Source organism: Homo sapiens, chromosome 18 (assembly GCF_000001405.40).
Source record: "Homo sapiens chromosome 18, GRCh38.p14 Primary Assembly".
NCBI lineage: Eukaryota > Metazoa > Chordata > Mammalia > Primates > Hominidae > Homo > Homo sapiens.
In genome coordinates, this window is record NC_000018.10 from 70,146,964 (window position 1) to 70,162,084 (window position 15,121).

A 15,121-nucleotide genomic window follows, 5' to 3' on the forward strand; every position below is an offset into this window, starting at 1 on the left:
TTTTCCTTTGTTCCTTACATTCTAAGCCAATGATATCTGTATTCACATCTGGGGTTGTCAGTTGAGAGACAGGTATAACCCCTAGCAAAGGTGGCTAGAGATGAGATATGTAAAGCATGTATTTATGCATCTTGTTCTCTGGTATATACATTTAGCATCTTTTTAGGTTTAGCATAGGATGCCAGAATCCAGTTATTCCTATACATGTATGTCATTCTTTAAAACTTTTGAGTACAGTCATGTACTGCATAACAATGTTACAGTCAACAGTAGATCACATATGCAACAGTGGTGTCATAGGATTATATTACTATATTTTTCTAAACCTTTTCTATGTTTAGATACACAAATGCCACTGTGTTACAACTGCATATGGTATTCAGTACAGTAACATGCTGTACAGGTTTGTAGCCTAGAAGCAATAGGCTATAGGATATAGCCTAGGTTATGTATGTAGTTAAGTTATTATTGCTTAGGTTTGTGTAAGGTACATTCTATGATGTTCACACAAGGACAAAATCACCTAACAAAGCATTTCTCAGGATGCATCCATGTCATTAAGCAACGCATGACTGTGTATTTATGTATAAGGTACGCTATGAAGTTCTGAGAATATAAAGATTAGCCAACGGACAGGGTTCCTGTCTACATGGAGTTTATGGATGGGTTGATGGGATGGGGTAGAATTAATACAATAAGGAAAACAAATATGTCATTTGAATTGTTTCAAATTCTATATAATAGAGACTTATCTTACCCAAAGAAAGATCTGGCCTTTCCTTGCACTATGCTCCTGGGGGTGTCCTGCCTTAGAATGTCTTTATTAAACTGAGGACCTTGGGCCCGAAAAACAAACAAGAAATGCCCCCTATTGTGTTAATTCTCCAAACTGGGGGTTTGTTCAAGTAAGGAGTACCACACTAGCATGTTAATTAACAGGGAACAGCTTTTCTGCATGTGTAGAAGACAACCCCTGAGAACACAAGCACGTTAACTCCCTCTGCCCTACTTCTTCCTGGATCACCCATAACATTACTCTCTACAATACAGAGATATTTTAAAGACTATAATTTTCCTCCTTCCATTCTCTTAATAGTTTAGTTAACTTCCACCTATTTCCTTATCTTTCAGTCCAATGATCTGTCTATAAATAAGCTGCTGTATTTTCCTGATGTAAGGTTTGGGAAACACAAATTATCCATTGTGAAAAGAATGTCTGTCCATTCTTCCTAGCCTTTTCAACCAACTATTCCTCTTTATCCCTGCTTATCCATCTCGACTCAGCATTTTTTTCTTTTTTCAGTAAGGGAAAATCTAACCACTGTTACCTAAAAATAATAATAGAAAAGATTCATGTTGCAATGACAGAGAAGGAAGAAAAACAGTATCATTCTCCTTCTTTTCATTAATTAAAACAATGCTTATATTAATGGCAGTCAAAGAAAGGATATGTTTTCAGTTCCCCAAGTAAGAACACAGCTATATGGGATTAAAATACCTGCATAACTCTGGTATTTGAGACAACTGGCCTACTATACTTATGAAAAACTGAATATTCAGAACAGATGTTTACAAAAGGATCACTCTGGAAGGCTAACAATTTCTAAAGAGAAGATGGGAATGCACTATAATTTTTACCATCTATTTATCTCCATGGCTCTCCAACTTGCCTAGGGCACTACTGAGCGGCACTTAGTAGCAGTCCTGTAACACAGGCTGATCTGGCAAGGAATAACTTGGCTGTAAAGTGGATGAAACGTCAGCAAGTACATACAAGACCTTGTATCTGCTTAGTTTCACGCATTGGTTTCCTCTAGTAATGGAATAACACCCTCCTTAAAAATTCTTTAGTTTTGTTTCAAATTATATATAGTTACTATACTTTCTTAGCATGTTTCCATCAATCTTTGACGTTCACAAGATTACGTTGTACTCACGATGGCTTTTTCACTAGCAAAAGTCGCAGCATGGACTTTAATCGGGTAGTACACGGAAGCATCTCTTCTGTGTCAGAACTTGCTTTGCTTAGAAGGAGAATGCAGTTACCCAGAGGATCTTCTGTGTCGGCATAGCCCTAATAGATTTGTTTTTAAAGAGAAATTATTGTCTAATTGTATACATAACTTTTCAACTTGAAAATAAGAATTGTATTGTCCTATCAGCAACTCATAAATGTCTTTGGATTCAGTTGAATAAAATCATTATTTTTTAAAATAACTTCTATGAGCCAAGGAGCCTAAATAAAACTGTATTTAAAAGAAAATACACATACATACAGGAGAACTTCAGGAAAACATGCCAACCTTCTTGACACTTGCTGATTTTTCTATTTTCTAAGATTCTAATAGTGGCACCTCCCCTCGGTGAAGCACCTCACAGATCCTCAGCCCATCCCCACCCTAAGAAGATGGAGTGCTCTAAATGCTACACGCATGGAATCTGTGAGTCTCAAGGCACAAGGCCCAGGCTCTCTCTTCTAAAAGAGGACTGTGCTTATGATGGCATTTCTGAACTCCACCTTTTCATCCAAAAGAGACAGGAAACTGACTCCTTTAATGTCCAGAAGGATTGCTTTTTTAAAAAAAAAAAAAAAAGCTGTTTCTAGGAGCATGTTAATTACGGTATCACTCTAATCATACATATGCATGGATAGAACTCATGAGGCAAGTTAGTTATGTAAGGTCTCCTTAAAAAGCACTGTTAGCTCTGCCTAAAAGCCTTTATATAAGGTTGAGTTCTATTTTTCACAGTCAATGCTGTGAATGCACCTCACTTTTTAACCTCCCACCCAGATATATAAAATATATACAGACAAATTAGCTATCCTGGTTTAACTTTCTGCCAGAAACAAGACAGCCACCCACTTCCTGTTCACTTATCCCCAGCGCCTTCACAGCTTCTCTTCATTTCTCTCACAACTTGACAGTTTAGCTGTTTGCATGCATTTAAATCAATCACACCCAGCCAAAGATAAATGGTATCATAAAAAGTGAATTTCACAGAATACCTGTAGTATTGGGATGACAGGACAGAGAGATTCAATAAACTTGTTCCAGGTCAATGCTGTCATCATCAATCGTCCCTGAAGCAGGTATAACAGAATGGCCTTGGCAGCAGTGTTCACCTGCTCAACAACACAGACCCGATAAACCAGTCAAATGAGATGTCCCGCTAGGTCACCTGACACACCTGGAACATTTTATAGCATGTGGAAAGATGCTATAATTAACATCTCTTTCTTTCAAATGTTCGTACTTCCACAGCATCATCTTACATTCTGTTCTGTTTTTCTTCCTTAATATTTCTAATTTTTTACCTTTAATGTACATTTGTCCCTTGAGTAAAAATTTCCCTAACTGAAATAATCTGCTTACTACCTGTACTGTATAGTTCTCTACATCTTAGATGAAAAATGTAAGTAAACTGATCTGAATTTTTTGAAATCAAGTGTGTCCTGTATTTTTATTCCCACATTTTATGTAACATTTATTTTTATTTAAATAACACTTCAACTGAACCAATGCACCAAAGACAGGTTTCTTTTTAGTTTCTCACCATGCTATCTAAACTATATTAGAATATCACCTTGATTTAGCTGAGTATCTAAGTTACTGTAATATTTTCACTCATGTTTAATGTCATACCTCACTTTCGGGCTCTTGAATGCCAAATACAGAGATTTCATACAGAACTTTTGGATGAAGTAGAAAATGAATTCCATTGCAAAGTGAAGACACGGGTTTAGTGACATTATGGACACCTAAACATTCCTGTAAAATAATATTAAAAAGTATTTTTAAATTAGCAACACTGATTTTTCCAAAAGATCCATCTTTCTTCTGTTTACAATCCCATTTCTATTTTAGTTTTTACTTCATTGAAACTTTTTTTAACAAGACAGAATGAAAAAGATTCTCCTGTCTAACAGTTTCTTAGTTTGTAGGAGATACATATTATATTACTTTCTGCCACAAGCATAATCATGATAAATTAAGTAAACAAACGGCTGAGACAACCATAATCTCTTAAAGTTAATTCATCATGACAGACACAAAGGACATAAACACAGTAAGAAACTTATCCTAAGGTGTTTGCATTTTACTTACAAAGGTTGGGAAAGAAAAATTCAACATGAAAAGACTTCAAGGACTTCAAGTTATGGGAGACATAACTTTATATACTATATATATTTATATTCTATATATATAGAATATAAAGAATACATATTTTATATATAATATACCTATTATATATAATTTTTTATGCTACATATTTATGTCCTATATATGTGATATATATATGATTATATAAAGTTATCATCAATACAGCTATGTACCTAAAATACAATTACTTTGAACCAACACTTAGAGTAACTATCAGGAATTTTTTTCTCAATATGTGATAGAGAATAGTATTTTGTTAGCAGCTATTTAAGGTGAGAGGGGAAAAAAAGCTACTTGAAATATTAATGGAATTTAAATACAATATAGAAGGTAAAAATACAATAAATAATGAGTTACATGAATACTACTTTTTTTCATTCTGCAAATTTCTACTTCCTATTATCAACAATTCAAAGGTCAAAAAGTTACACACATACACTCACATATGTATTTGCATACATTATTTTTCTTTCAACTGTTAACTTCATGCCACAGACAGCAACTTCGTTCATATTACAAGGTTTTCAAAGATCTAAAGCCTCAGCCCTAAACAATAGCTGTCACCTACTTCCTTAAGATACTTATCTACCATCTAAACTGTGACTATCCCCTTCTGAAACCAAGATTTACTTCCTAAAATTGTCTTATTTTTCTCCAGCACCTTTATTTTTCTTCACATGATTATTCTAATCACCATATGACATATTCTAATGTGTCTATGGCCCTGGCTTTCTCCTCTTGATAACAATTCATTTTTCAGCTCTCCTTCCCACCACGAGTCCTCACAAGAGTTCGCTGTCCTCAGTCAGTACTTCCTCATTTGCCAAACCCTCTTCAATGCACATCAGCAGGACTTAGGTTCCTACCATTCCACAGGAGCTTCTCATAGAGGACACCAACAACCTCAACGATGCCAAATCCAACGTGTTCATCTCTGTTCTCATGTGACTCTTCCTTCTAACCTCTGTCTCCACTTCTGGCTCCCTCTGTTCCCAACTTCTAACTGGTTAGATCCTAGACAGCCTTCTCTTCCCTAGTCTCTCAGTAGTTGATCCTATCAAGGCTTGTGGCTTTAATATCATCTCTAAGCTGATGACTGAAAATTTTATACCTAATCTGGGCTCCACACTCCAAAGGTAGTGTGGTGCAATGCTTAAGAATATGGGCTTTGGAGTGAGCCTATAGGGTTCAAAGCCCAGTTTCACCACTTTTAGTTGAATGACCTTGGACAAATTCAAAGTATCTCCGTTTTCAGAAAGAGGTAGTACCTAGCTCACAGAGCTGTTAGGAGGATTCAATGAGATAATATACTTATAAAAGTACTTGATACATAAGAGTAAATGCTCAATAAATGTTAGCTGCTATCATTATCAATGAAATTATTAGCATTAGCATTATTATATTTAACAGTCTACTTAACATATGCACTTGATATAAAAAGGCATGTCAAACTTAGGTTCAAAACAGAATTCTACCCAATCCACAATCCCATATTTGGGACATCAATCCAACTGCTAGATCCAAAACCTTAAAATTCATCCTTGATCACTCTCTATCTCCTACTCTCATTATCAGCAAGACCAATTAGCTCCACGTCCGTAATACCTCCTAAATTCATTTCCTTCTCTTCATCTCCACTACACCACCACATCTCATCAGGGCTACTACAATGAAACTGGTCTTCTTGCTTCCATCCTGACCCCCTACAATCCATTCCCCACAATGGGAGAGTGATCTTTTCAGAAAGATCATCAGATCACGTTAAAATCATTCATAGCATCTCACTGTACTTAGAATACAATTCATAGCTTTATAATGTTTGGCACCCTGCCTACTTTTCAGACCCAATCTGGTACCATTTTTCTATTATCTCATTATACTGCCCTTCTTTTTGTTCGTGAAACACGCAAAGTACATTCTCACCTGAAAAGCAGAGGCTTTTCACCTGTTGTTTCCTCGGGCTAGAAATTCTCCCTCCCTCCCTAGCCAGCCTACATAAATTTAGTCCACGTTACTAGTCATTCTCTAGTCCTTTATCCTTTCATTGTCTTTACAACACTATTTTATTTAAAACACTATATACATTGAATGTATATGCAGTGTTGTAAACTATATATATATATACATATTCTATACATATAGTGTTATAAAGAAAACTATATATACATATATACACACACACATACACATACATACTTTTTATGTATTTAAGGAATTTTTCTTAATTATTACATACATCTCTCTCTGTCCCCTATCAGAATATAAGCTCTCTGATAAGGCTCTTTTCTGTACTTTATATCACTACAGTCTAGCATATGGTAAAGTGTCCAGTAAATATTGCTAAATGAATGTTAGATGTAGGTAACATGGAAGTGGTGGCCATTTAATCATCCCTAAATTTAAAAGCTATTTTACCTCTTTACCATACCGTCCTCAAAGTTAAGTCTTACAATAAAAAGCTAACTTGCCTCTTCAGAAAAAGTAACCTCCACATTACTAGCACGCTCCTACATTTAGGTAGGTAAAGCTGCAGCAATGCCTTGGAGATTTACCAGAAGACACTGGAATAATATCATCTGACAGACATAGCCAATTAAAGTGAAATGCCTTTACAAATCCTTATATCCAAACCAAGATACTATATCTTTATGACACAGGGGCTAACTACAAGAAATCTCATCATTTGGAGCTTTTGACTTGGATTATTATAACTCCCTGATAGTAAATACACATGAATTTTTTAAAACCACATTGCACTATACAGATGATTATCTTTTGTGACAAAAGAAAAATCACAATATTTTGCAAGAACAGTGTCAACTAATATAAATTTCCAAATAGTTAACAAGAAAATAAAACATTAAATGAAAGTTCACATTCTTTTATTTTATCTCCTTCTACAACTAGGATAATAAGGCGAGTTTTAACAAAAAATATTCTTTCAGTTTAAATTTTGCAACAAAATGTATGACACTTGGTTATAAAAACTATAGTATATTAAAATTTAGAATTTTCAAAATTACTAAAATTCAGTGCATTTTTTTTAAAAACAAATTCGAAACTGACACATACATATTTATTTCTGACATTCCTTTTTTCCTATCATTCTATGACAGGAAAAATTATCTGGATGTTAATTTTTTAGAACTCCTCTAAAAAATTAACATCCAGATTATTCCTACTTGAAATTCATCATATACCAAAATGATCATATACATCAATAACTCAATTTACACCAAATATTTTCCTATCTGCAAAAATTTTTATTTCCAATAATTATTTAAAATCTGCCTCAAGAAAGATATCAAATCGTATTCCACCATTTTAAATTTCGGGGTATAATAACTATCCCAAATACAGTGATCTTAGTTTCTTGACCTATTTATCTCAATGATACTCACCTGCCCTATAACTGAGGACCCCTTCTCTTTTCACTTGTTCTACCTCTAAAATCATAAATGTAGGTTTCTAATCTTCTTACTCAACTTGAAATATGGTCCTTCTTTGACCTCCAGTCCATAAACCCTTCTACTTTCTTCCCTGTAGTCTTTACAGCCTTTGGTTCTACAGTCGACATGTCATTTCAACTACTCAGCTCACTTGCACCACAGGCATTCCCTCCTCCCCGACAGCAATGAAATAACTCAACCCTTGATTGATCGCAAGGTTCACATTCCCAGAAACCACACCAGCTAGCCAAAGATAAACATGCAAAGTAGAAGAGTCTCCCTATTAAGATTATAGACACAATTGACTAAGCTCTTCATGCAGCCCAAAAATGCTACTATTTGATATTATCAAATATCTACTCATATTAGTCATTTCACACATTCAACATCTCACTTTCAATCTCAAAGAAAATACAGACTCAATAGAAGGAGGCTCCTGCAACTTCCTGTGATATCTAAGCCCACCTAACCCCAATTAGCCATCATGTTCAAGGTCCCACCGCCTTCAACTTTCAAAGGCACTAGCTTCTTTTAATTAGCTACTTGCTACCCACTATCTTCAATCTTTCCTCCTCTGATTCTTTTTATTATTTCAACATACACAAATGAAAATGTAACTTCATTACAAACCCCTTCCAAGGTGCATCACCACTAACTGTCAAATCCCTAAAGGCAAGGCAGAAACAAATATACAACCACCATCTAGAGAATACAAGATCACAAGAAAAAGCTACCCTGCCAAAGAAGACCTGAAAATCAAAATAACAGTATCTGCTAAAATAAACAACATAAGGAAGATTCAATAGCCATAACAAGTGGGAGGATTCTAATACCATAATCTAAACAAGATTATAAAATAAATATGTTTAAAATTCACAACAACACAAAAGAAGAAACTAGAGGACTTGTTCCTGGCCTTGAGCAGCTCTTAGGGAAGTGGCAAGTGCAACAGGCATGGAGCAGCCCACTCTTGCAACGATCCTCTAGGATCCTAACTATGGGAGACCCCATGACCTGCACAGACCTTTGAGTTGCAAGGGAGAACTGCCCAATGAGTTGCCAGAGACAGAATGCCAGTCTGCACAGAGCCCAGAGGGTCTGGCGCAGTAATGGCTGCAATGGGGCATGGCCATAGGTGCCTGTTGCGGGAAGTCAGGGACCCCGAACGGAGGGACCGGCTGAAGCCATGGGAGAAGAATGTGGATTGTGAAGATTTCATGGACATTTATTAGTTCTCCAAATTAATACTTTTATAATTTCTTATGCCTGTCTTTACTGCAATCTCTAAACATAAATTGTGAAGATTTCATGGACACTTATCACTTCCCCAATAAATACGCTTGTGATTTCCTATGCCTGTCTTTACTTTAATCTCTTAATCCTGTCATCTCGTAAGCTGAGGAGGATGTATGTCGCCTCAGGACCCTGTGATGATTGCGTTAACTGCACAAATTGTAGAGCATGTGTGTTTGAACAATATGAAATCTGGGATCCTTGAAAAAAGAACAGAATAACAGCAACGTTCAGGGAACAAGAGAGATCACCTTAAACTCTGACTGCCGGTGAGCCGGGTGGAACAGAGCCATATTTCTCTTCTTTCAAAAGCTAATGGGAGAAATATCACTGAATTCTTTTTCTCAGCAAGGAACATCCCTGAGAAAGAGAATGTGCCCTTGAAGGTGGGTCTCTAAAATGGCCCCCTTGGGTGTGGCCGTCTTCTATGGTCGAGACTGTAGGGGTGAAATAAGCCCCAGTCTCCCATAGCGCTCCCAGGCTTACTAGGAAGAGGAAATTCCCATCTAATAAATTTTGGTCAGACCGGTTGCTCTCAAACCCTGTCTACTGATAAGATGTTATCAATGACAATGGTGCCCAAAACTTCATTAGCAATTTTAATTTTGCCTGCGGTCCTGCGGTCCTATGATCTCGCCCTGCCTCCATTTGCCTTGTGATATTCTATTACCTTGTGAAGCACGTGATTTTTGTGACCCACACCCTATTTGTACACTCCCTCCCCTTTTGAAAGTCCCTAATAAAAACTTGCTGGTTTTGCAGCTTGTGGGACATCACGGAACCCACCGACATGTGATGTCTCCCCCGGACGCCCAGCTTTAAAATTTCCCTCTTTTGTACTCTGTCCCTTTATTTCCCAACCCAGCCGACACTTAGGGAAAACAGAAAAGAAACTACGTGACTATTGGGGCAGGTTCCCTGATAGGTGCCCATCACCCAAATCTTGATATACTCCTCTAGGTGGCTTTAGCCTTAGTTCGCTGCCAGAAGTAGAAAGAGCAGGGCTATCTTTCCCACAAGACTGGGCCAACCTGATCTGAATGCCACCCTGTCTGCCAGCCTCTCAAAGGGTCCTGTCTGTCTCACTAGCTTGCAACACAGCCTCAGCTGCCCTGCCGAAATGCTCCCCAACAGCCACCCCATAGGTCTTTTGCCAACAGCCTCTGCCTTCCTGTCAGAGCGCTTTTGCAAGCACACACCCACCCACAGCCAATACCTACTGGTGTGCACTTGCCTGCAGCCTCCCCTGCCAGTGCGCACTTGCCCATGGTTACCCCCACCACAAGTGCACTCTCCCAAAGCACCGCCCCACGCCCCCCCAGAGCACTTTCTCGGGCAGTCACCATCGGAAAGTTGTTGCCAGCAGTCTGGGAACATCTCGGCTCCTCCAGTGCAGCAGATGCTTGACCTCAAGGGACCAGAAATCAAAGCCACTGGCCTGTTCAGTGCACCCCCAGGGTTAGAGCACACAGCCCAGGGGTGCTGAGCTGAGCTCTGGCCCTGAAAGCACACAGAAACCAAGCCAATTGACTAATCCCAACTTATACCACAGTAAAATCCTCAATGGCATCAAATAATATAAAAGCAAAAGGCCCCATCCAAAGTACAGCAACTTCAAAGATTAAAGGAACATCTGCCCACACAGGTAAGAAAAAAACAGTGTAAGAATTCTGGCAATTCTAAAAGCCAGAATGTCTTCTTATTTTCAAATAACCACACTAGCTCCCCAGCAATCGTTCTTAACCAAACTGAAATGGCTAAAATGACAGAATTCAGAAGCTGGAAGGCAAGGAAGCTCGACAAGATATAGAAGAAGGCTGAAGCCCCACCCATGGAAACCAGTAAAATGGTGGTTTGATCCATGATTGGATCTGACACAAACATTTTAAGTAAGAACAAAACTGAACTTCTGGAAACAAAAATTTCATGATAGGAATTTCATAATGCAATTGGAAGCATTAATAACATAACTGAGGAAAAAAATCTCAGAGCTCAAAGACTACTCCTTTGAATCATCACAGGCAAACAGAAATAAAGAAAAAAGAATTAAAAAAAAAAACTTCAAGAAATATGGGATTATGTAAACAAAACGAACCTAACACCCATCAGCATTCCAGAAAGAGAAGGAGAGAGAGCAAGCAACTTGGAAGGCATATTTGTGGATATTTTCCACGAAAATTTCTCCAACCTCACTAGGCAGGTCAATAAGCAAATTCAGGAAACTCAGAGAACCCCAGTGAGATACTATTCAAGATGACCACCCCCAAGACACATAGTCATCAGATTCTCCAAGGTCAACAGGAAAGAAAAAATCTTAAAAGGAAGCTAGAAAGAAAGAGCAGGTCACATATAAAAAGAACTCCATCAGGCTAACAGCAGACCTTTCAGCAGAAACCTTACAAGCCAGAAAAGATTGGGGACCTATAATCAGCATGCTTAAAGAAATTCAAACCAAGTATTTCATATCCAGCCAAGCTAAGCTTCATAAGCAAAGGAAAAACAAAATTATTTTCAGAGAAGCAAACGCTCAGGGAATTCATTACCATGAGACCTGACTTACAAGGGGTCCTCAATGGAGTGCTAAAAAAGGAAGCAAAAGACCATTACCTGCCTCCACAAAAACACACTAAAATACATCTCCCACTGACACTATGATGCAACTATACAATCAAGTCTACGTAACAACCAGCTAGCAACATGGCGACAGAATCAAATCCTCACATATCAATACTGACCTTGAACATAAACGGGCTAAACACCCCACTTAAAAAGCACAGAGTGGCAAGCTGGATAAAGAACCAAGACCCAACTATATGCTGTCAAGAGACCCAACTCACATGCAGTGACACCCACATGCTCAAAGTAATAGAATGGAGATAAAGATCTATCCAGCAAACAGAAAACAAAAAAAGAGCAGGAGTTGCTCTTCTTATTTCAGACAAAACAGACTTTAAACCAACAATGATCAAAAGGATAAAGAAAGGCATTACATAATGATAAAGGGTTCAATTCAACAAGAAGATTTAACTATCCTAAATATAATGCACCCAGCATTGGAGCACCCAGTCATAAAACAAGTTCTTAGAGACCTACAGAGTTTTAGACAACCACAAAATAATAGTGGGAGACTTCAACACCCCACTGACAGTGTTAGACAAATCACTGAGGCAGAAAACTAACAAAAATAGTTGGGACCTAAACTCGACACCTGACCAAATGGACCTAGGAGACTCTACAGAGTACTCCACTCAACAAAAGCAAAACACATTCTTCTCATCTGCACACAGCACACACTCTAAGATCAACCACACACTCAGCTGTAAAGCAATTCTCAACAAATTCAAGAAAACCGAAATCATACCAACCACACTCTCAGGCCACAGTGCAATAAAAATAGAAATTATTACCAAGAAGATCTCTCAAAAATGATACAATTACAGGGAACTTAAACAACCTGCACCTGAATGACTTTTGAGTAAAGAATGAAATTAAGGCAGAAATCATAAAATTCTTTGAAACTAACAAAAACAGAAACACAATATATCAGAATCTTTAGAACACAGCTAAGGCAGTGTTAAGAGGAAACTATACAGCACTAAATGCCTATATGAAGAAGTTAGAAAGATTGCAAACTAACAACCTGACACCACACTTAGAGGAACTAGAAAAGCAGGAGCAAACCAACCTGAAAGCTAGCAGAAGAACCAAAATCAGGGCTGAACTGAATGAAACTGAGACACAAAAATTCACACAAAAGATCGACAAAACCAAATTTTGGTTCTCCAAAAGAATATACAAGATTGATATATCATTAGCTAGATTAATAAAGAAAAAAAGAGACAATCCAAATAAACACAATCAGAAATGACAAAAGTGACATTATCACTGACCCCACAGAAAGACCCTCAGAGACCATTAAGAAAAACTCTATGCATACCAAATAGAAAGCCTAGAAGAAATGGATAAATTTCTGGAAATATACAAACTCCCAAGATTGGACCAGAAAGAAATTAAAACCATGAACAGAACAGTAATGTGTTCCTCCAAAGTTGAATCAGTCATTAAAAAATAAAAAAAGCCTACCAACCAGAAAAAAACACTGGGCCAGACAAACTCACAGCCAAATTCTACCAAATGTAAAAAGAACTGTTACCAATCCTACTGAAATTATTCCAAAAAATGAAGGAGGAGTGACTCCTCCCTAACTCATTCTATGAGGCCAGCATCATCCTGATACCAAACCCTAGCAGAGACACAACAAAAAAAGAAAACTTCAGGCCAATATCTCTGATGGACATAAATGTAAAAATTCTCAACAAAATATTGGTATACTGAAACCAGCAGGACAGCAAAAAGCTAATCCACCACGATCAAGTATGCCTTATCCACTGGATGCAAGGTTGATTCAACATATGCAAATCAATAAATGTGATTCATCACATAAACAGAACCAAAAAGAAAAACCACATGATCATCTCAACAGACACAGAAAAGGCTTTTGATAAAATTCAACATTCCTTCTTGTTAAAAACCCTCATCAAACTAGGCATTGAAGCCTCAAAATAATGAGTTATCCATGACAAAGCCACAGCCAGTATCATACTGAACAAGCAAAAGCTAGAAACAGTCCCCTTGAGAACCAGAACAAGACAAAGATGCCAACTCTCACCACTTCTATTCAATATGCTATTGGAAGGCCTAGCCAGATCAATCAGGCAAGAAAAATAAAAGGCATCCAAATAGGAAGAGGAAGTTAAACTCTCTCTCTTCACAGATGATTCTATACCTGAAAAAAAAAAAAAAAAAAGAAAAAACCATATTCTCTGCCCAAAAGTTCTTAGAACTGATAAATGACTTCGGTGAAGTTCCAAGATATAAAATCAATGTACAAAAATCAGTAGCATTTCTGTACTCCAATAACATCCAAGCTCAGAGCCAAATCACAATGAGAATTGTAAAACACTGCAGAAAGATATCAGAGATGACACAAATGGAAAAACATTCTCTGCTTATGAATAGGAAGAATCAATATTGTTAAAATGGCCATACTTCCCAAAGCAATTTACAGATTCAACACTATTCTTATCAAACTACCAATGTCATTCTTCACAGAATTAGAAAAAACCATTCTAAAATTTATATGGAACCAAAAAAAGAGACCGAATAGCCAAAGCAAACTTAAGCAAAAAGAACAAAGCTGGAGGCATCAGACTGCCTGACTTCAAACTATACTATGGGGCTACAGTAACCAAAACAGCATGGTACTGGTACAAAAACAGATACACAGGCCACTAGAACAGGTTAGAGAACACAAAAATATAGCCAGACACCTACAACCATCTGATCTTTGAAAAGACAACAATAACAAACAACGGGGAAATAACTCCCTACTCAGTAAACAGTGCTGGAATAACTGGTTAGGCGTATTCAAAAGATTGAAACTGGACCCCCTTCCTTTCACCATATATAAAAATCAACTCAAAATGGATTAGACTTAAATGTAAGACTTAAAACTATAACAACCCTAGGAAATACCATTCTGGACACAGGTCTTGGAAAATATTTCATGATGAAGTCTCCAAAAAAAGCAATTGCAACAAAAACAGAAATAGATAAGTGGGACCTAATGAAACTAAAAAGTTTCTGCACAGTAAAAGAAACTATCAACTAAGTAAAAATATCAACTAAGTAAAAAGCCTACAGAATGGGAGAAAATATTTGCAAACTATGCATGTGACAAAGGTCTAATATCCAGAATCTATAAGGAACTTAAATCAACAAGTAAAAAACAAATAACCCCATTACAAATGGGCAAAGGACATAAACAGACACTTCTCAAAAGAAGACATACACACGGTCAACAAACACATGAAAAAATGCTCAATATCACTAATCATTAGAAAAATTCAAATCAAAACCACAATGAGATATCATCTCATACCAGTCAGAATGGCTATTATTAAAAAGTAAAAGAATAACAGGTGTTGGCAAGGTTGGAGAGAAAAGGGAACACAGTACTATAAGCCCTATACACTGCTTGTGGGAATTTAAATTAGTTCAGTCACTGTGGAAAACAGTTTGGAGATGTCTCAAAGAAATTAAAACAGAACTACCATTTGACCTAGCAATCCCTTACTGGGTATAGACCCAAAAAAATATAAATCTTTCTACCAGAAAGACACATGAACCCAGATGTTCACTGCAGCATTACTCACA

The 15,121-nt window shown here is 37.2% G+C and overlaps 1 protein-coding gene across 18 annotated transcripts in view; it reads right to left on the reverse strand.

Annotated features, from left to right (window-relative positions):
* The window catches only part of RTTN (rotatin), a 202,657-nt gene that overhangs the window by 143,933 nt on the left and 43,603 nt on the right, over positions 1–15,121 (reverse strand). For 13 of the 18 annotated variants that reach the window (XR_430072.4, XR_007066140.1, XM_011525903.3 and 10 more), the window contains 3 exons: positions 3,645–3,770; positions 3,008–3,127; positions 1,938–2,074 (listed from right to left, as the gene is read on the reverse strand). Coding sequence is in view for 15 of the 18 variants with exons in the window: in XM_011525903.3 (XP_011524205.1) it covers positions 1,938–2,074; positions 3,008–3,127; positions 3,645–3,770 (383 nt within the window). In the remaining 3 variants the exon portion in view is untranslated. The remainder of the gene's footprint in view (positions 1–1,937; positions 2,075–3,007; positions 3,128–3,644; positions 3,771–15,121) is intronic. The other 5 variants (NM_001318520.2, XM_047437468.1, XM_017025693.2 and 2 more) reach the window with 1 other exon arrangement.